General features: G+C 40.5%; 2 protein-coding genes and 1 long non-coding RNA gene across 17 annotated transcripts in view, besides 1 other annotated feature; 1 reads left to right on the top strand and 2 right to left on the bottom strand.

Annotated features, from left to right (window-relative positions):
* The window catches only part of SUV39H2 (SUV39H2 histone lysine methyltransferase), a 25,450-nt gene extending 15,788 nt beyond the window's left edge, over positions 1-9,662 (bottom strand). For 2 of the 8 annotated variants that reach the window (NM_001193425.2, NM_001193427.2), the window contains exons 1-2: positions 9,568-9,662; positions 6,883-7,028 (exon numbers count right to left, since the gene is read on the bottom strand). Coding sequence is in view for 2 of the 8 variants with exons in the window: in NM_001193424.2 (NP_001180353.1) it covers positions 6,883-7,028; positions 9,609-9,639 (177 nt within the window). In the remaining 6 variants the exon portion in view is untranslated. Of the gene's footprint in view, positions 1-6,882; positions 7,029-8,994 lie in introns of all 8 variants that reach the window. The other 6 variants (NM_001193424.2, NM_001193426.2, XM_047425741.1 and 3 more) reach the window with 5 other exon arrangements.
* Positions 9,189-9,928: a silencer, noted in NCBI's record as "silent region_2164". NCBI's record gives its function as "represses an Ori minimal core promoter by ATAC-STARR-seq in GM12878 lymphoblastoid cells {active_cell/tissue: GM12878}" and the evidence as "EXISTENCE:reporter gene assay evidence [ECO:0000049][PMID:35858748]".
* Positions 9,869-24,211, top strand: SUV39H2-DT (SUV39H2 divergent transcript). 8 transcript variants are annotated; one of them, NR_199703.1, is made up of 3 exons: positions 9,869-10,096; positions 20,648-20,811; positions 22,139-24,211. It is a non-coding gene; the product is annotated as an SUV39H2 divergent transcript (long non-coding RNA). The 8 variants fall into 8 exon arrangements; NR_199704.1 differs by having other exon boundaries at positions 21,862-24,211; NR_186430.1 differs by lacking the exon at positions 22,139-24,211 and adding an exon at positions 21,290-21,476 and having other exon boundaries at positions 9,869-10,059.
* Positions 16,787-24,211, bottom strand: part of HSPA14 (heat shock protein family A (Hsp70) member 14) — a 33,436-nt gene continuing 26,011 nt past the window's right edge. The window contains exons 11-14 of the mRNA NM_016299.4: positions 21,233-21,445; positions 20,619-20,792; positions 17,861-17,931; positions 16,787-17,000 (exon numbers count right to left, since the gene is read on the bottom strand). Of these exons, the coding sequence (NP_057383.2) occupies positions 16,922-17,000; positions 17,861-17,931; positions 20,619-20,792; positions 21,233-21,445 (537 nt within the window). The 3' untranslated portion in view covers positions 16,787-16,921. The remainder of the gene's footprint in view (positions 17,001-17,860; positions 17,932-20,618; positions 20,793-21,232; positions 21,446-24,211) is intronic.

Genomic DNA, 24,211 nt, shown 5'->3' with positions numbered 1-24,211 from the left:
AGCAGCTGGGATTATAGGCAAGCGCACCACCATGCCAAGCTAATTTTTATATTTTTAGTAGAGACGGGGTTTCACCATGTTGGCCAGGATGGTCTCAATCTCCTGACCTCATGATCTGCCCGCCTCGGCCTCCCAAAGTGCTGGGATTACAGGTGTGAGCCACTGCGCCCGGCCAACTCTTCCCATTTTCTGACTACCTCTCTTGCCAGTGTGTCTCAGACTCTGACAGTCCTTCCTATGAGTGTCCCCACCTACTCCTCAGGGCTCATCCTCAATCCTTGTTTTCTGCTCACATTTGCTTTGCTTGGGCTACTGCAATCGCCTCTTGCCACCCTCAACCCATTCAGGGCACAACAGCCAGAGTCATGTTTTCAACACATACATCTCAGCATGCTGCTCCCCTGCTTAAAACTACTAAATGGTTCTCTACGCCCTTAAGAGGAAGTCCAAAATCCTTTCCTCGGCCTATGAGGAGCCGCACACTCTGGGGCCTGCCCACCCCGCCAGCCTCACATGCTCCCTCTTACTTGCTCTGTTCCACTCACACCCTCTATTCCTTGAAGGCCCTCTTTCTACTCCTTGAAGTCAGGCTGTCTTCTGCCTCGAAATCCCTCCCACATATCCCTTTCTTCCTTTAGTACTAAGTTGAAACATCAGTTCCTCAGGGATACCTGCCCAGTCTCTCCAGGATAAGTGAGATCTTTCTGTCACATCAACACTTACGTCAACTACAATAAGTACTTTGTCCAACTGTATTTAAGGTATTTCTACCCTCACTGAACGATAAACTCTGTAGTATCAGGGACCGTACCCTCACATCAGTCATTGCTCAGATTCCCAATTCCTAGTGCAGGACATGGTAGATGGCCAGTAAATATTGGCTGAGTTCATGAACAGGAAACTGCATCCACTCCCAAGGCTTCCCTCTCTATCTTTTTGCCAATTACTTTAGGATCTATGTTTCTAGTTAGATCTCACTACTGATTTGAGCCCCACTTCCAGTTGGTTTAAGTTCCACTTAAAATGTCTTCAAGAAAGTACATTTTGAAAGTACTCAAGAAAGTTGAGTATGTTTTAAGTAGAACTTAAACCCACTGGAAATGGGTCCCCAAACCCAATCTAGTTCCTACTCCTGTATTCCTGGTGAACAGTAATACTGTCTACACCACTGCCCAAGTCAGAAACCTGTATTTTCCTAGACCTGGCACCTTCACTACCAGACCCCCACCCAACCCTGTGACCACAAGCCACAGACATACATTTTACATCCTTATTTTTTTTTAAAAAACAAAAGAACCGTGCACCTACTTTTCCTTGACATCGTTAATACTTTAGTCCAAGCACCATTGTTTCTGGTCTGGTTACTATGACAGCCATTCAGAACATGCAGCCATGCACGTGTTATTCCTTTCCCTATCAATCCCCTTTCTTTTTTGCAGAGAGAAAATTCTCTCAATTACAAACCTGATGTGTCACTCTCTTTAGAACCTGCCAACTAACTCCCCATTGCCTTAGGATGGCTGAAAAATCCTTCACTCACCTCTTTCTTTCCCACATCCATCTCCGACCACCTCATTCTCCAGACAGAAGCCCTAGTCAATTACAATGCTCGCCTTTTCAGGCTCCACTTGGACATCACTTCTGGGAAGCTTTCTGTGACCTATCCAAGGTGCACCTCCCACAGATCTTCTAACGATGTTTGCCACAGCACTTTTTATACATCTACACTGCAACGGGTTATTTCTTTGTCAAACTTTCTCACTAGGCTGTGAGTTCTTTATAGTGAGGGAGTTTCTTATTAATCTTTCTATTCCCAGTGCCTAACACAGTGTCTGGCACACAGAAGAAACTCAAATATTTGTTGAGTAAGTATACGAGAAAAAGAAACAGGAGATACGAGTCAACAGAATGCTGCTATCATCTAAGCATGAAGCCAGGAAGGCCTAGTCTAATAGTGAATGTAGGCCCTAGAAACATGACCGAAGCAAAAGACAATTCAATTCAATGACCATGGACCAAACACCCGTTCTGTACCGGGACTAAAATGAGACATAGTCCTGGCCCTCAAATGGTGGATGATTTGGCAGGGAAGATCTGATATAAACAAGACCATAAAGTGCGACAAGTTCTAGAGTAATGGCAAGAATGGTGCTTTGTAAATCCTGAACATAAATCAACTAATTTTGCTGGAGGTGAGGAAGGGCAGGTGGTTCTACAATAGGTGGTGACCTATGCACTGAACTGTGCAGGCTGTGTAGGATTTTGCGGTCCAGGGAAGAGAAATGGTAGTATTCTGAAGAGGGAAATGGATGAGGAAAGGGGACACAAAAGTGCATGATATGTTCAAGGCATTAGAATATAAGCTGGGTCTGTTCTTCAGCTATGTTTCCAATGCTTAGAACAGTGCCTAGCTCATAACAGGTGCTCAGTACATCTTAGCTAAATGAAATGATCTATAAATATTTCAATTTCAGAAAATAGGATATATGACAAGAGATGAGGCTGGAAAGGTGGCGGGTGGCCAGATGATAAAGAACCTTGGTCCTATGCTAACATGTCTCAGATGAGACTGTTAAATAGGGAACCATGAAAAGGTCTAAAGCAAGGCTTGAATGCAATCAGAGCTAGGTTTAAGAAACAACTATAATGGCACGGTAGACTATGGTATTGAGACAGTATCTTTCATGAGCTAAGTGAAGGTGGTCACACAAGAAAAGGACAAGGTCATAAGATCCTTCACCTACTCTGAATTTGTAAAAGAAAGAGAAAGAGAAGAAAAAAGGCAGAGGTATGCTAAAGTAATGCTGGCTTAGAGATTCAATATCTGTGCCAGACAGAAGAAATGGGGGATGTATGTGGGGTACTGAGGACATAAGAGAGCAAAGGAAGGTCACTTATTCCGAAGCAAGAAAAGGGATGAACTGATGAGAAAGACTAAGAAGAAACTAAACAGCAAAAATGATCTGAAACTGAACTACAACACTCAGGATTCCACACAAGAATCTTGGTAGCTCCCTTAATGTAAGCACAGACCCGTAAGTAACTATTACTAATTCTCTCTGTGAAAGCACAGCAGGAATGAACAGGAAAGGACAGAGAGATAGAGATAACATAATATGATAACCCATTAGATTTAGAGAGTAAAAAGAAACGAAGAATTAAAGATATATGCAATCATGAGGTTAGGTAAGTGGGAGAATTATGTTTCTGTTAACCAAGATAGGGAACACTAGTGCAAAATCCAGGTATGAAGGAGGAAAATAGGTGCAGTTTTGAATGTGAACTTGGATACCTGTAGGGTATCCAGTTCGCAATGAAGCCCAGAAAGGGCTCAAGGCCTCAGAAAGATTGAATGAGCCAAACACATACAAGTAGAAACCACTGGGAAAGAGGCTGCCTACAGAGCAACTACAAGGTGAGAAGGCCAAGAACAGGGCCTTGAAGACTATCAACATTTCAGAGGAGAGATAAGAGATAGTAAAGGAGGTTCATAAAGAATAGTAAGAAAAACAGGTGGAAAAGAAGTAGGAATAGAGGTAAGAATAATCACAGTAAGCACTCACATAGTATAATTACCACGCTGGCCTTTGTTCCACGCATTCTATCTATGTTAACTCATTTAATGCTAGTAACACCCTGTAAGAATAGTACAATAATGATCCTTGTTTCAAAGATGAAGAAACTGAAAGACAGAAAGGCTAAGTAACTTGCTGAAGATCACACAACTTATAAATAAGGGGCAAATGTTAAACCTAGACAATTTCTCCATAGACGAGAGTTTCAAAGAGGAAAAGGTAGCCAACAGTGTTAAATGGGGAAAAGTTGAATAAGATGCAAGGTCTTCAAATCTGACGACTAAAAGGTCACTGAGGGGCACAAGTCAGAATAAGGTGGGTTAAAAAGCTAATGGGAAGTGGAAAGACAACTCACAGAATGGGAGAAAATTTTTGCAAATCACATACTAATAAGGGATTTGTATCCAGACTATATGAAGTATGATTCCAAGAATAAACAGACAATCCAATTTTTAAAATGCGCAAAGGATCTGAACAGACATTTCTCCAAAGATATACAAATGGCCAATAGGCACAGGAGATGCTCAGTATCATTAGTCAGAAAAATACAAATCAAAACCACAATGAGATGCCACTTCAAACCTACTAGGAAAACTATCATCAAAAAGTCAGATAACATCATGTTTTGGCCAGGATGTGAAGAACTGAAACTCATACACTGCTGGTGGAAATGTAAAATGCAGTGCTTTGGAAAAGAGTCTGGCAGTTCCTCAAACAGTTAAACACAGAGTCACCATATGACCCAGCAATTCCACTCCTCGTTATATACCCAAGAACCATGAAAACTTATGTCCACACAGAACCCTGTAGGCGAATGTTCATAACAGCCTTATTTATAATAGTCCGAAAATGGAAACAACTCAAATGGCCACGAAGTGATGAATAAGTTAAATGTGATATATCCATACAATGAAATATTATTTGGCAATAAGAAGGAATGAAGTATTGATATATTTCACAACATGAATGAACCCTGAAAACACGCTGAGTGAAAGGGGCCAATCACAAAGGACCACATATGGTATGATTCCTTTTATATGAAATGTCCAACCAGGCAAATGGACAGACAGATGTAGTGGCTGCCCTACGGCTGGAGGTAGAAGGGTAACTGAGGAAGTCTGGGGGTAACAGGTGGTAGCTAAGGGGTTTACTGTTTCTTTTTGGGATAATGAAAAGTGTTCTAAAACTGACTCCTAAAGTATACTAGAAAATCTGTGGGATTTTTTTTTTTTTTTTTTTTTTTTTTTTGAGACTGAGTCTCGCTCTGTTGCCCAGGCTGGAGTGCAGAGGGGTGATCTCAACTCACTGCAACCTCCACCTCTGGAGTTCAAGCAATTCTCCTGCCTCAGCCTCCTGAGTAGCTGGGATTACAGGGGCCCGCCACCATGCCCGGCTAATTTTTGTATTTTTAGTAGAGACGGGGTTTCACTATGTTGGCCAGGCTGGTCTCAAACTCCTGACCTCGAGTGATCTGCCCGCCTTGGCCCCCCAAAGTGCTAGGATTACAGGCGTGAGCCACCGTGCCCGGTTTACAAAATCTGAATTGTACACTTTAAATAGGTGAGCTGTATGATAGCATGTGAATTATATCTCAACAAAGCTGTTAAAAAAATTAATGGGACATGCAGTAGTAGAAAAAGACAGAAAACACTTGCATGAGGGGAGAGGCAAGGCCAAAGAAAATCTCTGAAGGTTAGGGAAGATCTGAATGTGTTTACTGACTGAGATATATCAGTAAAAAAAGAGAGCTTGATGTAAACAAGACATCAGAGAAGAAAAAAAGTCTGGCGGGGTGCAGTGGCTCACGCCTGTAATCCCAGCACTTTGGGAGGCCAAGGCGGGCAGATCATGAGGTCAGGAGTTTGAGACCAGCCTGGCCAACATGGTGAAACCCCATCTCTACTAAAAAATACAAAAATTAGCTGGGCATGGTGGCGGGCACCTGTGGTCCCAGCTACTCAGGAGGCGGAGACAGGAGAATCGCTGGAACCCAGGAGGTGGAGGTTGCAGTGAGCTGAGATCGCACGACTGCACTCCAGCCTGGGCGACAAGAGCGAGACTCTGGGCCTTTAAAAAAAAAAAAAAAAACTCCTATAGGGGGTAGATAGGAAGAAAAAAGAAAAATGGTGACACCTCTGGAAGTAAGAATAAGTGTGAACAGCTGGTGGTGAAGGTAAGTTGAGAGTTTACAAATGAAAGATCCTATTTTTCATTGAGGTAGGAGGTCTTCAGCAGAAAATGAGAAATGGATAGAGTAAGAAACCCAGAAAAGTAATCCAAGTTGGAAAACCTGCTGACAAGAATGGGAAAAGCAAGCAAGATAAAAAGCTTGTCAGGTAGAACTGAGCAGTGTGAGAACAGAAATAAGTTATAATGGGGCTGATATGCATGATTGTATAATATTCTCAGCTGGACTGGTCAGTCCATAGCTTGTAAACTGAGATGGCAGATGACTGGGGCTGTTTCAGGGGCCGAAGGATGCTGAGAGTGCAGGTGAGATGCATGGGCATAAGATCCCACTGAGCAGGGAAGGCAGTGATACTAAAGAACTTGAAAGAATGGGATTTAGTGACTGATTCAATATAGAAGATGAAGGAGGAAAATAAAGACTTAAACAAGATTCCCGATTCACTTATCTGATAGATTTGGTAGATTAATGACCAAAACAGTTCTTGGAAAGTGAGGTAGGCTATAGACAGATGAATTACTCAAAAATATACAGTTTAGATCAAAAAATCTTTTGAGAACAACTCTGCCGTTTTTTAAGAGCAATAAAGGAAGGCTTAGAGAAGTGAAACGAGTTTGCTTAAGTCCTAAGGTACTAAACAAAAGCTGGAAATGACTTTGCAATCCAGGCCATTCTATTATAACCTAGAACCTGACTAAATCTGGAGTGTGACAAGATGGCAGGAAATGCAAATGGTGATGTTCTTGAGAGTCAGTAACACTAAAATTGGTTTGAAACGGTAGGTTCATTTCAGGTGATAGTGGGGAAATACGATCCACGAACAAAACGAAAGACAATTGGAGATCAAACATTTGCTCTGGTAACCCACACGGAGATAATCAAGAGTTGGATGTAGAGGGATATGAGCACCTGAAAATATTCTAATGCAAGAACACTTTATGCTTCAAAATCCTCTCAATGCTATTTGGCAACACAGATGATAGGACATATAAATTTATCATGCCTTAGAATTTTAAACATTAAGAAGAGCTTTTCTTTTAATGTTCTTTTTATGTTACAGAAATACGAAATACTGAAGTCTGATTAGGTCTCTTGTAAGGGGCTAGATATTTGCCTTACCTTTACTACCTTGTAGTCACACAAGTATTCCACCTCATAATTGTTTAGATTCCTTTTGGTGATTCCAATCGATTTACATGTGAGCTTTTCTTTTCTACATAATTCCTGAAGAGTATCAAGTGAAACTAGGCAAGGCACACACCAAGCTACAATAAGAAAATAGAATTCTTTACTAATGAAATAGCTATTCAATTAAAACAAAAAAGAGAAACTTAAAACCTCTATTCCCCATCTTTCAACTGGCAATTTTAGACTAAAAATTCCTATGACAAGAAACCAGTTACATGTCTTCAAGAAAAAGTTAAACATTAAGGAACTATTTTGTTAAATTGGTGTTCTTGGATTTTCTCATGGATTTCTATTCCACTACGTTTAACTGACATCAGTTAATTTCCATTAAGTCACTTGAAAATGTTTCATGTCTGTAAGCTTTTTTAAGATTATATACAGATGCAGGTCAACAGAGATAATGTTTTTCACTTTCATTGTATTCTACATAGACTACAATCACTATTTTAATAAAATGTAAATCTCTAGGACACTTATTCTTAAAAACATATCTAAAATATACTTTAAAACAATCTTATAATTTGTTAACACGTAACTTTCATTTTTTTTAACTGGACAAAACGAACTGAAATCTAATTAAAATATATTTCTACGGTTACAAACTCATTATATGTTAGTTTTCTCTTTGATATGTTGCATGAAGCTTTAATTCCACTTATTATTCTACCCATACTGCAATATATTATCACCAAGGTGAATAAACTCCAGTTATTAAAAAAATGGAGTATATCGATATTTTGTAATACTTATGGACTGTACTGTTTTTAAAGCCAAACTTTTAAAACGGTGTTCAATTTACATAAGCCATGTACTAAACTCAAAGAAAATTAGACATACTCATCATCAACCCTCCAGAAACCAGAAACTAATTGCGTTCCAGAAGATTTCACCCTCAAATTTCTGTAAGCAGCATGTTACCACACTGAATTTAAAGTGTAAATTAACACGTTTAGGAAAATGGAACAAACTTGTTGTTAGGGCTAGTGTCATGGTAAGCACTTGACAAAATCAAAAGTCCTCTGCACTACCCATCGCTCGGTCACCGAGCTATGTGACTTTAGTGAGGTCTCAATCTTTTTGGCTGTCAGATTCACTGGAAAAAAATGGAGAAAACTGGTGTTACCAAACAAAATCTATCAGTAAACTCAAGCTTTACTTGGTAGCTCTCCAAGGTAGTTGCGATCACCTTTTGCGTTTTGAGGTAATTTCAGGGAAGGGAGAACACTTGTTAGTGGCAATAACTTTTCCGGCCCCTTTCCTCATCCTCCCCACCTCACACAGAAACTTCATTGTCAGAAACCCTTAAGCATAATTTCTACCATCTCACTGGCTGCAAACGATTCCATCCTAAAGCAGTAAAGACAAAGGTATTTTCCTCCAGAAAACGTGGGGGAAGAGGCTGATTGGCTTTGTAGTGGTCGTTTGGGGGTAGGACAGTGATGGGAAAGAAATGACCCCCTAAGTCCCTTCCATCTACAAAAACTAGAGAACGTTTTGTGTTAAGCTGACCTCATTAAGGGAATCACGTATAAAGGAGGTTCCTCTTATCTACTCAAGGTGTGTTTGTGTGCTTTTCCTAAACATTTTTATCTAGTTGAGGATTCAAAACACAACCCGCAAAGGAAATGCTCTTTGAAAATTAAAAAAAAAAAAAAAGTGAACATGAAAAACTGCAAACACGTGGTTAAAAAAAGAAAGACAATCTCTCGACAGTCTCCAGTAATGCAGAAAAAGATTTCACTGACAAAATTAAATAGTTCATGACCACCACAAACACCTTCCGCTGGTTCACAGTAACCCCTGACATTCTCCAAGGAGAAAAATTCAGGGATAATGAGGTCATAATCCCAGCGGAGAGGAGACGAGCTTGAAAACACCTTTACATTCCGGAACGCACGGAAAAGTTCCAGGCTCTCAAAGCGTGCGCGACACCAACACCCCCCGACGCCCACACCCACGCGCGCTCGGTGCCCAGTTCCCCGGTGCCCAATTCCCCAGCGTCCACAGAAATAACACCAAGCTCCCGGTGGGTGAAAGAGTTACCGTAAGCCAGAGGCTGCAACCTCAAATACCCACTTTCTGGGCGATTCTCCAACGAGGCACTCAACCTCCTAGCGTGTCCGCCTTGGGGGGGATTCCTCGCTTATCCCCTTTCTTAGCACACAGGCGCCCCGATTTACTCTCCCCCTCTGATATTAAGGTCATGTTCACGCCGGCGGGCGTCGCTTCCCGCCTCCCACTTCAAAGGCCCGGGCGCATGCCGCACGCCGCGCTCGAACCACCACAAAGGAGCCAGTCGCAGCCGTGCCCCCCGGACCTCCAACCGGGGACTGCCGGGGAGCGGCCTCGAAGCCCGAGGCCGCCACGGGAGACGCGGAGGGGGCCGGGCCGAGCGGGCGGAGAGGCCACGCTCCACTTCCGAAGTGCCCCAGGCTCGGACAGTGCCCACCTCCGCGGCGGGAGCCGGCCGGGCAGGGAGGCGGGTCAGCGGCCTGGGGGAGGATAGGCGTCCGCAGCGTGCGTCCCGGAGTTGGGGTCGCGGCGGGCGGGGAACCGCCACGTCGCCATCTGGCTGGCCCGCGGGACGGCCCCGCCGCCCGGGCCTTGGGAGCTTGCCTGGGAACAGGGAAGGCGAGGGGGCCGCGCTCCAGCCTCACCTCCTCGCGCCTCGGCCCCGACCGCCGCCATCTTGTAGAGCTTTCATTCAAACTGGCGCGGTCTGACGGGATAGCTCAGCTGGCCCGACGCCCCGCCCCTGGCCGGCCCGCGCGGGACTTGGGGGCCGGGGCTTGTTGGGGGACGGAACCCGCACGGCGTCCTGACGTCACTGGCGGCCGACCCCCCGCCGCGGCGGCCAGCGCGCCTGCGCCCCAAAGCTAGGCCCGGCCCCAAGCGCGAGGAGCGGGGCGGGGCGAGCGCGCGTGCTCCCGGATCCTCGGCAGTGTCCGGCGCCCCCTTCCCTTCGCCAGGCCCGTTTGGCGCCTTCACTCGGGAAGACGTCGGCCAGGACTTTGCGCTTTGGAGACGTCTTACTTCGGCAGCACTCGCACACTGCGAGATCCGACACGGGCAGCGGGGACCTAGGGAGCCGGGGACGCTGCCTGTCGGGTACGGTTCCGCAGCTACCGCAGCCCCGTGGGCCATGGTTAGTCTCCCCCCGACACCGCTCCCTCTAGAGCTCCGGGCTTCGGAAGCGGCTGCACGTGGGCATGGCTGGAGAGGTTCCGCTGGCTTGGGGCAGTCGCCGGGATTCCGACTGGTTGGTGTGGGGTGTGGCCTGTGCTATCCAGCTCCCAGCTGATCCTAATGTGCGGCACAGCGGAAACCACCGGTCCACATCAGTGCTTCTCACTTAAAGGGGCTTACGAATCGTCGGGGGTGGGGGAGCTGGACTTGGAATTTTTTAAGAGATGAGGTCTCACTCTGTCACCCAGGCTGGAGTGCAGTGGCGCGATTACGGCTCACTGCAGACTAGACCTCCTGGGCTCAACTTTAATGTAAATTGGGATTGGGTAGGTCTGTAAGGGGACCCGAGCTCCCCTCCCATGTTGTTGCCAAGCTCCTGAGCTCGGCCTGGTGGCGGGTGGGGGCCGGGAGGAGAAGGACACGTTAGTAAGGAAGCTGCAGGACGACTCCAGGGGCCTCCCACCTGGTCTCCACCCCCCTCCCCCACCCATTCTTGACGCTGCATCCATGATTGTTCTAAACAACCTAAAGCAGAAATCTTAGAGCAAATAACGAAAACTGGCAGAAGGCCATTTGATATCTCCTTAAAAAATTCATGTAAAAAATTACATAAACGTTTCAAAGCAGTATGTATAAATTTGAAATACTGGAAATGAACGCAGACCATTAAAGGAATAGTTAATTATTTGATTCCATTATGAAATACTGTCTAGCCGTCTTAAAAAGGTGTTCATGAAGCTTTTAGTATTCAGCAAAACCAAAACAAATCCCCCTGAAATATAGTTTTAACTATGGAAGAAAAAAATGTATAGGAAAATAACGAAATAGCCTTTTCGGAGTGATTTTCTTTTTAACTTCTCGTTTTTAAATATTTAATCATTTTCTACGATGGGAAACACCACTTCCTCACACACACTCATGCTCCCAGACTTTATTTAGCTACAAACGGCATCATAATACAAATACTGTTCTGCAGTCCGTGTGTGTTTCAATGCAACTGCATTTCTCAGACATGTTTCTAAGATTTGAGTCCTTAGTAAATTTTGTATTCCATATCTCATTACCTTGAGATAAGGAATAAAAGGCCCTGTCCAACCCTGTCACCTGGAAGAGCATCCAGGCCCTTTAAGGCTTAGTCTATCTAGGATTATGCCTTCAGACTTGGATACAGCCTCCCGTCCTAACCGGCCCCTGTATTCATTACCTCTCCTGTATGTTTTCAGAGCCCACCAAGGAGCGGCCATCGCTACTCACTGGCCACTCTTGAATCCTTTTTGGCTCCTTTTCCTCAGTCCAACCTGGGTTCCTCAGAGAAGAGACTGTAGTCCTGGGACTGCATTTCTTTTCCGCCCTCTCCCTATGTGACTGCCCCAATTCCCATGGATTTAAATAGCATCTTGACACACAAGATGCCTCACTTATCGTCTCCGGCCCTGGCCTCTGCCTGAATTCCAGGCTAGAATATCCACAGTGCGTAATGGACATATGCCCTTAGGTGTTGCACAAACATCTCAAATTGAACATATCCGGAAAAATACACTTCTGAACTTCGTAGCATTCAGAATAAAACTCAAACCTCCAGATGGCCGGCAGGGCCTCCAGTGATGGGAATCCTGTCTCACCTCACTTGGTGCCACTCTCCCCTTTACTCATTTTCCTGGCCTTTCCCCGGCCCCACTTACCCAGAAATCTTTTACTGTGCATCTCCTATGTGCCAGGCACCTGATAGGTGCTGGGAATATAGCAGTGGATGAGAAAGAAAAAAGACCCAGTCCTCATGGAGCTGACTTCCTAGTGACAGGAGCAGCGGATAAAGCAAATCACTGAAGGCAGCTGGAAATTACTTTCCGGTTAAGAGGACAGGCTCCTTCCCCTCCTCACATGGCTACCTTCAGATCACTTGGGTCTCAGCTTAAACACCACCTATTGACAGAGGCCTCGCATGTTACCTCATTCTTTAGCCCTACTTTGCATCCTTAAAAAGCACTCATCAAAATTTGCAATTATCTTGTCGGGTTTTTGTTCTTTGGTCTTGATTCATAATGAATGCATCGCACTATTTTGTAAATCCAGTGTTTCGTTTCGTGTCTTGAATCCCATCCATTCCAGCGCATAGATGAGGCCCTGTCTGTTCAACATTCATCACCGTGTTTACTATCTAGAGCAGCAATTCTCAAAGTATGGTAATTGGGACCCGAAGACTCTTCACAGGGTTCATGAGCGCAAAACTATTTTCAGACCAACATGTTCTCTGCCTTCCTTCGCTCATGAGTACATAGTGGAATTTTCTAGAGGTTACACAATTTGAATATTGCAACACATTGAACGAAGACGCAGGTACCAGAACATAGCTATCTCCTATTAAGCCAGACATTAAAGAGATTTGAAAAAATACAAAATACTGCTTTTGGCTAGGCAAAGTGGCTCGCACGTATAATCTTGGCACTTTGGGAGGCTGAGGAATTGCTAGAGACCAGCCAGGGCAACCCTACTAAAAAATTAGCTGGGCGTGGTGGCACATGCCTGGGGTCCCAGCTACTCAGGAAGCTGAGGTGGGAGGATCGCTTGAGCCCAGGAGTTTGAGGGTGTAGTGAGCTATGATCAAACCACTACATTGCAGCCTGGGCAACAGAGCAAGACCCTGTCTCAAGACAAAAAACAAAAAATAAAACCCCAGATACCACCCTTGCCACTAATTTTTTGTCTTAGAAAAATTATTTCTCATAAAAAATTAACTTTATTACTTAGAAATAATTTTTAAAATTGGTTTTAATTTCCATATGGTAACTATAGTTATATAACTACATTTTATGTATATGTAACAAACAAAAGCTCTATGGGTTCTCAACATGTTATTTTTTAAGACTATAAAGGGTTCCTGGGACTAAAATGTTTGAGGGTGTTGGTAAATCCTGGCTATAAATGGAGAGAGAAATAAAAAGCCACTGAGAGACACACACCAGGGTCCTCAAGGGAAAAGTAGAGAATCATGACCCTTTCCCAGTATTTTTTTCACAAAGACCACATGATTTCTGGAGTGTCTCCTCTTCTACTGAAATAAACGTTCTCTTCTGAGAGGCAAAGAATCATAGAATGAACACTAGATTAAGAATGTGAATTTAAATGAAATAATCCATGTAATGTGCTTAAAATAGTAAGCAGTCAAGAAAAATTAAGTTTACAAAATAAGCATCTGAATGTTAGTTCAAAATCCACCATTTATTCACTGTGAGACCTTGGATACTTTATTTAACTGCTGTGAATCTATTATCTGGAAAACAGAAATAACCAAGGCCATATTACTCTCTACATAGTACAACTACTCGTGGAATTGTGATGAGATCAAAATTTTAAAATGAGATAATGAATTAAAGCAAATAACAGTATTATATGGTCACTCATTATCATTTTAGATATTGTGATTTTTCCCATAGAACTTTTATGCTAGGATACTTTTAAGAATTCTTATACATATAAAAGCTTTCAGTTTGTGATGAATATTTTGTGACCTCCTGTTAAGGACTGAACGTTTTCATCTCTGAAAAATTCCAGTGTTGAAATCCTCGCCCCCAAAGTGATTATATTGGGAGGTGGGGCCTTTGGGAGGTGATTAAATCATGAAGGTGGAGGCTGCATGCATGGGATTGACACCCTTACAAGAGGGACCCTTCAGAGCTCTCTCGCCCTCTATCCTCCGTGTGAGGTTATAAGGATAGCTGGCAACCCAAAAGGGAGCCCTCATCAGAACCCGGCCCCGCTTCCAGCCTGGTCCAGCACCCGAACTGACTTCCAGCCTCCAGAACTATGATACATTTCTGATGTTTACAAGCCACCCCCCAGACTATGGTACTTTATTATAGCAGTCCAAACTAAGACACGTTCCAAGACTTTCACATCATAGGTATTTCTTCCTATTTTTATATTTGGCTCTGTTCTTCAGACAATGTCAGATGTAAATAGGCAAAACTATAATTTGACATAAGCTTTTAGTGGTAAAAGTGTTTAAGTTTAAATATGTATATATTTACTATCTGGCCTTTTATATAAAAAACTTGACCCGAGGTAGATTATTGAAACTTCCACAATAAAATGACTTCTTCAAAACTTTTCTTCCATATTTATGTAATACTTCACTTACTTGACTACTTTCCCCACATTTAAATATATACATATTTAAACTTCATGAAATATATTTACATTTCATGAGTATAAATTGCATGTATCTCATGTACATCCCAATTATCTTTGCTACGACATACATATAACAAAGATAACTAGGATGTACATGAAAAGATTATCAAGGTACTCACCAAAAATCTTTATAGTTACTATTCTGGATGGTAGAATAAAGAATGTTTTATATTTTTTTCTTTTGGAATTTGAATTTTATATTGACTATGTATCATTCTTACAAACAAAAAATTTAAAGCTATTTTCACCTTGAAAAATAAAAAAACACTAGAAAATTTTGTCAGCAAATCTTTCAAAAATTCACAAGGAAAAAACTTATCACCTGAGGGTACGAAAAAATGTGGAAGAATTTCATTAGGCAGTAGAGGACTTATTGATGACAATTTCAAATTTGATAAGTCTAGGGGAAAACAACCAAACAAACATGCAAAGCTGACCAATAAAGTCAGCAGTGCTATTCCTTTCCTTCCTTATGTTTCTAAACAAACCATAAAATATACAACAGATGTACTACTCACTGGCCATTGTCCTGTAGCATACAAACATGACATTATTTTTTCTTCCACATAATTCATTTATTTGATAAGCACTTAGGAACACCCACTATGCTCACGTACTGTTGTAGGGGCTGAGGCAAAATGGTGACTAAGACTGAGAGTATCTGCTCTCACAATGCTTAATAATCTAGTGGGGAAAGGAGCCAATAAGTAAAGCATTACATAAATATAGCAGAAAACTTTAGAAGAAGTTATTTTATTCTATAAGTTTCAATAATGTACTTTAGGTGTCAAATTTTTTATGTAGAAGGCCAGACAGTAAATATTTTAAGCTTTGTGGGCCACACAGCCTTTGTGCAACTATTCATCTCTGCCACTCTAATGTGAAAACCGCCACAGCCAGCCCATATACAATTAGAGTGTGACTGTGTTCTAATAAAATTTTATCTATGAAAACAGGGGTGAGATAGATCTGACTCACTGGCCATAGTTTGGCACCCCAGATCTATTTTAAAAGCTAACAATAACCACAAAATAAAATCCTAAAAGTTTTTCAAAGCATAATTGAAAGCATGTAGACCTAGCAGTAGAACTAGTTCAGTTGGTGTTTTCCTGTGTTCTGAAGCCACTGAATTGCTTATACCAAAATCACTTTTATTTCAAATTTTCTATGACTTTGGAAAAAGATCCTAAGAAATAACTAATAACTTAGGACAAAGAGTACACCTTTAAAGCTGCTTCTGTATTTAAAGACTCTGTGGACTTAAAATCATATCTGAATTCTCTTCATGGTTCTGTCAATAATTTGATGCAAAATAATGATGAAAAAATTTAAGTTTGGTTTCTGGATCTTTAAAAACTTTTAGAAGGGTACTACCAACTAACTCCATAGCAGCCAACATGAATAAGTTTTCACTGGAACCCACTGAGGATCTCAGGGCTCTAGTGAATATTCTCTGGTAAACAGAATGTGGCTAGCCTTCTCTTCAAACTAAAGAGATTTTTTTTTTCTTTTTTTGAGATGGAGTATCACTCTGTCACCCAGGCTGCAGTGCAGTGGCGTGATCTCGGCTCACTGCAACCTCTGCCTCCTGGGATCAAGGGATTCAGTCTCAGGAGTTGCTAAGACTACAGGCGCACACCACCACGCCCAACTAATTTTTTGTATTTTTAGTAGAGATGGGGTTTCACCACGTTGGCCAGGCTGGTCTGGAACTCCTAGCCTCAAGTGATCCTCCCATCTCTGCCTCCCAAAGTGCTGGAATTACAGGTGTAAGCCACCGTGCCCAGCCCTAAAGAGATCTTTTAATTTCAAAAGAAAAACATGTTTGTTGGAAGAAATAAACTAAACAAAACTGTAAAAAGTAAAAGCCCCTCTCCTAGTTGTTGAGTTTATCAGTTTACTTAAAAAATGGCTGTCGCTTATGCCTGTAATCCCAGCACTTTGTGGGGCTAAGGCGGGAGGACTGCTTGAGACCAGCAGTTTGGGACCATCCTGGGCAACATAGCAAGACCCGTCTCTCCAAAAAAAAAAAAAAAAAAAAAAAAATTGCCAGGTGTGATGGTGCACATCTGTAGTCCCGGCTACAAGGGAGGCTAAGGCAGGAAGACTGCTTGAGCCCAGCAGTTCGAGGCTGCTGTGAGATATGATCCCACCACTGCACTTGAGCCTCGGTGGCAGTGCAAAATCCTGTCTCTAAAAACAAAAACCAACAAAAAAAGGCATCTTACTTTCTATGTGGTCCTGAAATTTTTTTCAATTAATGTCAATGACTTTTAATTGTTCTCTTGGTTATCTAACAAGAATCAATAGAAGACTTTTACAAATTAAATGTTATAGAAAATTCTTTAACCAACTCAGTTTAATTCTAAACAGCTTCATGATAAAAAAAAAAAAAAACTTCCTTATATTTCCCAGTAATAAGAGGTTACTGTACGTCAAAAACAAAGGGTTGCAACACTTACTGATATATTGTAGTTTAATAAAACATAGTTTATACAGTTCATTGAAAAAGTATTTTAATACAAACACCACTTATACACAAAACCAAATGTTGATATTCTTGTTTTTAAAAATTCTTGATTTCTCTAAAACACTAAGATGCTATCTCAATAGAGATTGCTTCACATTTTCCAGTTTCTTGATCTGTGCATGTCACATGTAAAGATCCATCCCTAAACAGACAAAAAAATAAAGAACATTGCACAAGCTCATTTTATAAAAACATAAAGTCTGTAACAAGTTACTTGAGGGCTTTCAGTAAACAAGGGTTAATTTTAATTTTCAAAAGAAGGGTATTAATGTAAAGAATAAACACAATCTCAGTGTCTCTAAATTTAGTAAGTGTCATATGTTATATTTAGCTAGTTGTTATTAGGAACTTCCTTCCAGACCACTAAGATCATGGTTGTATTTCTTGAAAACCCATGATGACAAACATCTTAGGTTTAAGACTTTATATAAGCTCCAGATGCACCATGCTATTTTCAAGCCTAGGCCAAGGCAAACTCACCCTGATGAATTCTATATTCTTGCTAAGTATCGTTTATGGAGTAAGTTGTCTTTTAAGTTTCATTTGGAAAGGATTTACTTGTAATACATAGTGATATGGATAGCTTGTGGTTAGGAAAATGGCAATAGCTGAATTTAATTAGTACATTTTTTTCTTACAGATTTTCTGCAGCAATAAAGAAACTTACCCTTTCATAGGGCAAACAGTAACAGTTACATAAACCTTAGAAAATTATACTAGAAATTGATAAATTACATCTCAAATGAGCACAGATCAGTTTCTTAGGTTGATGATAGCCAAAATAAAGAGTTCCTAAAATATTCAAGATGCAAATGACTTGAGATATACTTTTCTTTGTAAAATATAGTAATTCTGGGGGCAAAAAATGTAATTCACTGATAAAAACCTCTGTAGGTTTTTAATGTTTCTTCTAGAATGACAATAAATAAAAAAATCAATAAACTCAAAAAATGGTCAAGTATCAAATTGAATTTTCTTAACAACAGAAGTTTAATTTTTTACCTTTTCATAGTAAGAACAGCTAATATATCACGTAATCCATTTTCTTTTTTATCTAAATCCTGGAGTACAACCTGTTTATACAAGAACAATATGAAGAGAATTCAGCATCTTTACATAAATGAACTGATGTATCAATTATTGCAAAGGACCAAAGCTTATTTATCACTGAAACAAACCTTTTTAAAATAGGGCAGTTTTCAATTCTCCTACCACTGAATCAGAATTCAGAGAATAGGAGTGAAGCTTTGTTAACTTGAAATGTTTCCTCCAGAAGGAGGGCATATAAGATAACTAATGCATTTGTCCCTTCTAAATGTCATGTCCTAGATTAAAATCATTGTTTCTAAGATGTACTATTAATCTTGGAAAATAAAGGCTACTTTTCTTTTTTGGTAAGTAAGCCATTCCCAGTAACACGCAAATTATAATTTGGCTAGCTTTCTATATATACTTAAAAAAAAAAAATCAAGCATTTTAAATACATTTGGAAAATCACCTACTTAAAAACATGGCAAACTCTTTTGTACAACTAAGATTATATTTGTAAGTAAGAGATGGTAATGAATTTACTATAAAATTCCTCAGTTTCCTAAAGAATGGTATATCAAGAAACCAGATTTGGAGTTCTGCAGTGACTTTAGGCTTTGCCAAACTCTAGTTTAATAACTTAGGTAAGTTACTAAGTACCTTGTTTTACTCATTTGTAAAATAAGGTTAGAACAGATGGGAACTCTGAAAGATTCTCTTCCAAATTCAGTATTACGTGGCTAACGCTCCTCCTGGCATCTTTAAGTTAGGATATAGTGGCAGCAGCTATGGAGTCTCAGAGAGGATGTGAAGAAAAAGGTAACAGAACTGTGAGAGAAGAGCTAAGGAAATACTAGGACTGCCATCTGAGTTCAAAAACCTGGTGCATGGGAAGGTTCTTAGACACACACAAACCAATTCATGTGGAAGCGCTTTTAAAACTTTACCAATAGATTCCAAGTTGGTAAGTCTGAGGTGCAGCCCAGGCATGTTATGCATGTGTGTGTTTTCATTACTCTTTTGTTGGAATTAGAAAATAAATATGTGGCCAGGCGTGGTGGCTCATGCCTGTAATCCCAGCAGTTTGGGAGGCTGAGGCAGGCAGATCACCTGAGGTCAGGAGTTTGAGACCAGCCTGGTCAACACAGTGAAACTGTCTCTACTAAAAATACAAATATTAGCCAGGTGTGGTGGTGCATGCCTGTAGTCCCAGCTACTCCGGAGGCTGAGGCAGGAGAATCAGTTGAACCCGGGAGGTGGAGGTTGCAGTGAGCTGAAATCATGCCACTGCACTCTGGCCTAGGTGACAGAGCAAGATGCCGTCTTAAAAAAAAAAAATTAAAATAAATATGTGAGCTAAAGATATGTATCTCTTTACACACACACACACACACACACACACACACACGTACACGTACACACACAATATCTCATCACTAATAAACACCCTGTCTTCTCAAAAAAGCTAGGCATTTTTAGTCTGCTTCTGGACTTCTCTGAATGTGCATATATTTTTTAAAAAACAATACTGCTTTGGGAGGCCAAGGCAGGCGGATCATGAGGTCATGACATCGAGACCATCCTGGCTAACACGGTGAAACCCTGTCTCTACTAAAAATACAAAAAATTAGACGAACGTGGTGGTGGGCGCCTGTAGTCCCAGCTACTCAGGAGGCTGAGGCAGGAAAATGGCATGAACCTGGGAGGCGGAGCTTGCAGTGAGCCGAGATCGTGCCACTGCACTCTGGCCTGGGCAAGAGAGCGAGACTCCGTCTCAAAAAAAGAAAAAACAAAAAAAACAGTACATTATTTTTTGTTACCGATATTTAATTTTTACTATAAAAGTAATTCATGCTCATGTCCTGTGCTGTTTGTAAAAAATTCAGTATAAGGTGTCAAAAGTCAAAAAACCCCTCTTGGTACCTTCAAACTTATTTACCTACTGTGAAGTTTCTGGAATATGGTTTAAGTACCTATAGATATTTTCTGTATAAATGCCTGGATATCTGAAAATGCACCCCTACTCAAATACTACCTCCTCACACACACTCATGCTCCCAGACTTTTTATTTAGATACAAATGGCATTGTAATACAAATACTGTTCTGCAGTCCGTGTGTGTGTGTGTGTGTGTGTGTGAATGCAACTGCATTTCTCAGACATGTTTCTAAGTAAATAACGTGGCTCTACTTCACTCTCTGTAAAGCATACAGAGGGTCACATAGTATAAGATATGCACGCGGTATTTTAAAAAAGCAAACCTATCTTGTCTCAGAGGCAGCATGGCACAATGGGAAGAGCATGTCATGGGCTCAGAAATGAAACCAACGTGAGGAGAAACCCTAGCTTGACCAAGAAAATAAAGGGTATTTGCTATCACAGGCCAACTTCTTAATCATCTGTAAAACGTACACAATAATGTGCATTTAGCATGAACCAAAAAATATAATTCTCCCATTCCACTTACCTAACTACCAAGGTAGGCCAAGAGCACAACAGAGAAGCAGTCTAAATACCCAGAACTCTTTCAAATTAGAACTGCCTATTTTTTCCCTCTTTCAAAAATGAGTACACAGGTGTTCATTTTCAGAAATGAGCCTTCATAAAATCCTTCATAAAAATGTATTAGGTGTCCTTTATATATATACACATTTTGTATTAAGATATTAAACTGAATCTAATCCAGAAAGCAAAGTTGAACAGTTTAATGTGTCTAACTTTATGTATTCACCTGTGCAAACTTGGTTTCCTCTTTGGCAGAGTTCTTCCCATCAGACTCATAGAGTTCAAGGCACACTGAAGATATGCTTCCAGGGGCTTGCAATGTGTGTTGTCTTCGAGCTGGCAAAGGAGTCCCTGATGGAAACAGCACTGTGAATCTACTGGCTCCTGATTCGTCCACACCCTAGTTAGCAGGAAACAAGGTGCATACTCTTTGGTATTTATCTTTACAATTGAAAAAAACTTCCCATTATAAATGAGATATATATTCCTTATTGATAAACAGGACACTAGGCAAAGAGAAGAAAATAGAAATAATCCTTAATCCTACTTCACTTTAAAAATATATTGAAACATACCTCTCTCTATATTAGCTTATGATTAATATTATACCTAACTTTTATTTTTCTAAAAAACTAAGAGGTTAGAGAAATATTAACTAAAAGAATATAAGACATACCTTAAAAGTAGGATTATAAATCTAAATTTAAGACCTGTCAGTATACAAGGTTTTATTGTAACATCATGGTATGTATAAAAACTTATGGCAATTAATTTACTATTTTTATGTAAAGTATAGAAAAGCTAAACATACCTTAACTAGTATACAAAAGCTAAACATACCTTAACTAAAATATCTCTGGCTGAACACTCTATCATAAGAGAGTCTTCCACCAACAGGTTTTCTTTCCCAATAAGAATTCCTGCTTCTATAGCTGCACCAATAGGGATCACTTCATCAGGAGGGATAGAATTGAGAAGCTCAACAGCTGGGAAAAGATCTTTAATCAGTTGCTGTAGCTTTGGGATTCGAGAAGACCCTCCACAAAGGACAACCTAGAGAATAAAAATAATTTTCAGTTGTTTACTTTTAGAAGAATGCTGTGTCTCAAAATTAAGTGTAATAGACTGAGTCATCTTCATCGTATGTAAAGATAAAATACAAAAAAAGCCCTATATATTAACATGTTATGTTATACTTAACCTATAAATACACAAACATATATTTAAACATATTATAGATATTTAACATATTCTTTATTCACAACAAAATTTAAAATGAGGAAATCTCACCATTTATTACAAAATACAGTAGAGCTACATACTTGGTTCATCATACTGTGCAGAAGAGGCTTAACCACAAATAGTCACTTGAATAGAAAATATATCAATATTTTGTACTGTCCAAGTTTTTTTTTTAAAAGTTTGAATCTTAAAGCATTTTTGTGACAAATATTGCTATTCTCTCTTAGTGAAAACTATGCCATAAACTTATTTGCCTTTACCATGGAAGAATATTAAGTTTCTTGAGGAAAAAGAGCTGATTTATAAAACTGCATTTTAAGCGGCTGGTACCATCTGATTAAATCTTTCTGAAGAATTTCATATAAAATTGCTCCCTTAAACTGTAAATCCCTTAAGTTGCTCATTGATTCATTCATTGAACACTTATGATTCCATGGGCATTCAGAATATTGAATTAATATATAACCTAAGAAGGGAAATCAATAGCCACTTCCTATTTCACAGTCTTTACGGATGATCTCACCGCTCACTGAGGCAGAGGACCACCTGATGAAAGCTAGGCCTCTTTCACGTTCAGTATGAAGTAATGAGGGACACCCTATTAATCTCCAGGTACGAGCATGAGGAACATCAGCTGTAGGATATTTTGTTTAAAAACTAGGTTTTCCTTGGCAAAGATCTTCAAAAGATCTGTTTGGAGGTAAGTAAAAAGAGCAATCTTCTCTAAAATTTTATGATCCCAGGTAAATACCAGGAGAACAAAAATGCAGAATATGCCTTTTCAAATTTCTCATATTCAACATCAAAAAAGCTTTATTAATAAGTAGCAAGTGGTATACCTAGGAATCCAACTTACAAGGGATGTGAAGGACCTCTTCAAGGAGGGCTACAAACCACTGCTCAACAAAATAAAAGAGGATAGAAACAAATGGAAGAACATTCTATGCTCATGGATAGGAAGAATCAATATCATGAAAATGGCCATACTGCCCAGGGTAATTTATAGATTCAATGCCATCCCCATCAAGCTACCAATGACTTTCTTCACAGAATTGGAAAAAACTACTGTAAAGTTCATATGGAACCAAAAAAGAGCCCACGTTGCCAAGTCAATCCTAAGCCAAACGAACAAAGCTGGAGTACCTGACTTCAAACTATACTATAACGCTACAGTAACCAAAACAGCATGGTACTGGTACCAAAACAGATATACAGACCAATGGAACAGAACAGAGCCCTCAGAAATAATACCACACATCTACAACTATCTGATCTTTGACAAACCTGACAAAAACAAGAAATGGGGAAAGGATTCCCTATTTAACAAATGGTGCTGGGAAAACTTGGCTAGCCATAGGTAGAAAGCTGAAACTGGATCTCTTCCTTACACCTTATACAAAAATTAATTCAAGATGGATTAAAGACTTAAATGTTAGACCTAAAACCATAAAAACCCTAGAAGAAAACCTAGGCAATACCATTCAGGACATAGGCATGGGCAAGGACTTCATGTCTAAAACACCAAAAGCAATGGCAACAAAAGCCAAAATTGACAAATGGGATCTAATTAAACTAAAGAGCTTCTGCACAGCAAAAGAAACTACCATCAGAGTGAACAGGCAACCTACAGAATGGGAGAAAATTTTTGCAATCTACTCATCTGACAAAGGGCTAATATCCACAATCTACAAAGAACTCAAACAAATTTACAAGAAAAAAACAAACAGCCCCATCAACAAGTGGGCGAAGGATATGAACAGACACTTCTCAAAAGAAGACATTTATGCAGCCAAAAGACACATGAAAAAATGCTCATCATCACTGGCCATCAGAGAAATGCAAATCAAAACCACAAGGAGATACCATCTCACACCAGTTAGAATGGCGATCATTAAAAAGTCAGGAAACAACAGGTGCTAGAGAGGATGTGGAGAAATAGGAACACTTACACTGTTGGTGGGACTGTAAACTAGTTCAACCATTGTGGAAGACAGTGTGGCGATTCCTCAGGGATCTAAACTAGAAATACCATTTGACCCAGCCATCCCATTACTGGGTATATACCCAAAGGATTATAAGTCATGCTGCCATAAAGACACATGCACACATATGTTCATTGCGGTACTATTCACAACAGCAAAGACTTGGAACCACCCCAAATGTCTGATAAGGATAGACTGGATTAAGAAAATGTGGCACATATACACCATGGAATACTATGCAGCCATAAAAAATGACGAGTTCATGTCCTTTGTAGGACGAAGCTGGAAACCATCATTCTCAGCAAACTATCGCAAGGACAAAAAACCAAACACCGCATGTTCTCACTCATAGGTGGGAACTGAACAATGAGAACACTTGGACACAGGAAGGGGAACATCACACACCGGGGCCTGTTGTGGGGTGGGGGTAGGGGGGAGGGATAGCATTAGGAGATATGCCTAATGTAAATGATGAGTTAATGGGTGGAGCACACCAACATGGCACATGTGTACATATGTAACCAACCTGCACATTGTGCACATGTACCCTAGAACTTAAAGTATAATAAAAATATATATAAAAATAAAAAAAAAA

This window comes from Homo sapiens, chromosome 10, assembly GCF_000001405.40.
Source record: "Homo sapiens chromosome 10, GRCh38.p14 Primary Assembly".
NCBI classification, from domain to species: Eukaryota; Metazoa; Chordata; class Mammalia; order Primates; family Hominidae; genus Homo; species Homo sapiens.
This window is presented reverse-complemented; position numbering and strand designations above follow the sequence as displayed.